We start from the raw sequence: 3,729 nt of genomic DNA on the forward strand, positions 1-3,729 counted from the left end.
GCTTTGTCCTGATCCTCCCGCTCCAGCCCATGACCCACACCCACCTGGATGCAGAACTCAACACATCTTTGAGTTCCCTGTCCCGTTTTGTTTCCATTGAATTTCAGTCTGCAGTTTCACTCTCTACTCAAGCACCCACTTAGTCACACTAAAGCATGCTCATTATTCCCCCTTAAAGAATCCTTTGATGTAAAAACATTGGAACAGTGAATCTTGTTTTTCCAAGCATTTTTTTAGGTGACACAGAAGAGGGAGGGGAAATTCATTGCATACTGCAGAAAAAAATTTTTTTAATTCCCCATAAGTATTCCCATCAGTCCCTTTGCTCCACATTGTCAAGAAGAGGAAGGTACTCCCAATGCCATTTCTTTCAGTTCCCCAAACTGTTAACTGTCTATTCTTTCGAATGTTTCCCTAGGCATGTTAGAGTCTCACCTGTTTCTTGTAAACTGGACATCACTTATTTATTTATAAATAATGTAACAGCTATGATGCTCTAATTAGATCATGCATGTGAAAGTACCTCATACAAATGAAGTGGTACATTAATAGAAGATATCATTAATATTCACCTGCAAGATGTTACAAGTCAAATAACTTAAAACATTGACTTATCTAAACTTTTTTTTTTTTTTTATAAAGTTGTGGTCTGTCACCCAGGCTGGAGTGCAGTGGCACCATCTAGGCTCAATGCAGCCTCCACCTCCCAGATTCAAGTGATTCTCCTGCCTCAGCCTCCTGAATAGCGGGGACTATAGGTGCCCGCCACCAGGCCCGGCTAATTTTTGTATTTTTAGTAGAGATGGGGTTTCACCATGTTGGCCAGGCTGGTCTCGAACTCTTGGCCTTAAGTAATCCACCCACCTCAGCCTCTCAAAGTGCTGGGATTACAGGCATGAGCCACCATGCCTAGCCAGTTTATCTAAGCTTATGATTGACAAGTGCATGACGGAGTTATTAGAAGGAGCATTTCTATGCATTGGTGATTGATGCCAGGTTAACACTCTCCCACAAACAATGCCTTCCTGGGAAGCTGCATCAGAGCCAACACAGAGCTGATTAGACAAATTTATGAATCTGCATTCAAGCTCCTCTTTCTTAAAAATGCAAATAGCCCTCTCTCACAATTTTTTATTTAATCCTACTGGTCTTTCTCTTACTAGTTTTTCTTATTTTACAAAAGTTTCAAATATATAGTCTATATTCACTGCCTCCTTTTTTTTTTTCTCAACACCTGCTTCCTCCTGCTCACCTAGGAATATGGACTCTCTCTCCTCTCTCCGGTGCCATAATGAAAGGTTGTGGACAACAATGTTTGTAAATCCACAAAAAACTCCCTGTTGTGAAATACAATGGCCATGTCACCTTCCTCATTCTCTGGCGTTCTTGACTGAATTTGACATTTTCAAGGAAACCTAGGGAAAAGTTTGAGGTAAGAGGAGTCCTCCTTAACAACAGACAAGACTAATCAATTTGTTCAATGATCTTTTATTAAAAGAATCATAAAGGGAATGTATTTTAAATACTTGCTCTGCCAACTTAGGCAGCATCATGACATGAAGGTACAGCTAGTCTGTGAAAATTCTTCTAAATTATAAGGCTCATATGTAAAAGAAACTTGATAGAAGTCTTCCCAAATTTGACAGCAACCCTAAAAATGTATGGCATTACCAGTAACAAGCTATAAATCTGAAACAAACTTTTCTATGTTATTAATAATACATACATTTAAATCAATCATGTTTTAGAGAAAAGACTGAATTCTTTTTGTGTTCTCTTTATGAAAAATATTACAAAATTGTTGTCTTATGCAGAGGTGATAAAAAAAGAACGTAGCCAAAAAGTAGGGTAAAAAGATAATATGGAATTTTGCAAGGCACTGTATTAATAAAAACCATTATGTTATTTTTCTGGAAGTTAAAGTATATATGGCATTTCTCAGATTTTATTAGTTGGCAACTTCTTGTGATTTCCTATCTGTAATAAATATTTACCTTTTATACAATTTTATATTCATAACTTTATATTTTTTAAGGAGTGTATTCCAAAATTGTATAAGCTTCAGATCCTTCCAAATCTGCATCCTATTAATTATATACTAGTTCTTCTATCATAGAAATATAGGCTATTAAATCAAGTGCTCTCCTGGATAATAGAAGTGAGGTGTTATTATCAAACTCTTGTCAGTAACAGATTCCTTTCTCACTTCTGCCATCTTCCTGGACTCCCTACCATTTCTCTGTATGTAAGTATACTTACAAGCATGTGACATGCAGAGAATATAAAGATAAATAGATAATACCCCCACCTCGAGTAGATTAGAGCCCCGTGAGGGGAAGAAGACATGTAAGTTAATAATTAAGCAACAACCTGATAGCCGTTCTAAAGGAGTTAAGAGCTCAGAAGGGGAGAAATTGACTCTACCTTAGGAATTCGGGAAAAGTGTCACAATAAAGGTAAGAGCCAAACTGGGCATAAGAAAATAAGAGGGAGTATGCCTGGCAGGGGAGGGAGACTGCATTCCCATGGGGAACATCGCAGGTTAATTTATGTGAGCAAAGCATCAAATCCAGTGCTATGATGCACCAATTAGATCATGGATGTGAAAGTACCTCATACAAATGAAAGTGATACATTAAATGAAACGATGCATTATTCTAAAGAACATAGTCCAATATGCTGTGCTGGCATACAAAGAACAAACAAAAACAAGCCACTCCCCAAAAGGGAAGAGTCACTAGCTTCTCAGAATAATTCACAAATCATAAGCTTATATGTTGCATCCTTTAATGTACCAAACATTTATAAATCTTGAAAATTGTGGGCTCAAGCCTTGGTATCAAAGAAGCCTGAACACTGAATCCTCCAACACATTTTAGCTGTGTCATCTGGAACAATGGGTAATTTTTAAGGCCTCGGTTTTTTCATCTGTAAAATGATCACATTAGTAGTTATATCAAAAATTTGTCATGAGGATTAGACCAGCCACGCATGGCATGAAATAAAGCTGACCAAATGTTATTTGTTAATAAGTGAAGCTAGCATATCCAAGTTTTTCTAATATTGAAGATAGATGAGAACTGCACATCTCTTTGTTACCCTGATAATTAAGGGGAAAGTCAGCACCTGTCAGCCAAAAACAATCAAGCTGAAGGCAGGAATGTTCTTGCAAATAGCCAGAGCATTCCAAAGAATTCCAGAAATGCTCTCACATTCTCTATCACATTCCTTTAAGCACAGATTAATTTAAACAAACAGCCTAATCACGCCATATCAGAAACGTACACACAGGAAACAAAGGCCAAAAACTAAGTCTCAATGAAAAATAGCCATCTTGTAAGGAAATAAGCACATCATTCTTATGCCAGAAGACATGGTTTCAAATATATTTCTGCAGAAGCCAGTCTCTTCATGTCGAGGCTCAGTAGGAGCATCACCAGGCTGTGCTACTTCACACTCCTTAGCAGGGAACATCATCTTAGACAATTGTCCCTGAAGCATAGCTTGATCCTTTCCAGACTTAATAGAGTGGACTGCTTGTTTAATGGTAAAATGTGTGCATTCTGAAGAAGGGACATCAACCTCCTCAATTTAATTAGAGAACCGTTATAAAGAAGTGAACCATGTTATGCTTTAGCCCAGTAGGCTATTAACCCTGAAAAACTGGGAAGGAGCAGATGATACATCTATAATATCTTCTCACAGTAAGCCTGCCTCTTGGTTTTTGTG

Source organism: Homo sapiens, chromosome 4, assembly GCF_000001405.40.
Source record: "Homo sapiens chromosome 4, GRCh38.p14 Primary Assembly".
NCBI lineage: Eukaryota > Metazoa > Chordata > Mammalia > Primates > Hominidae > Homo > Homo sapiens.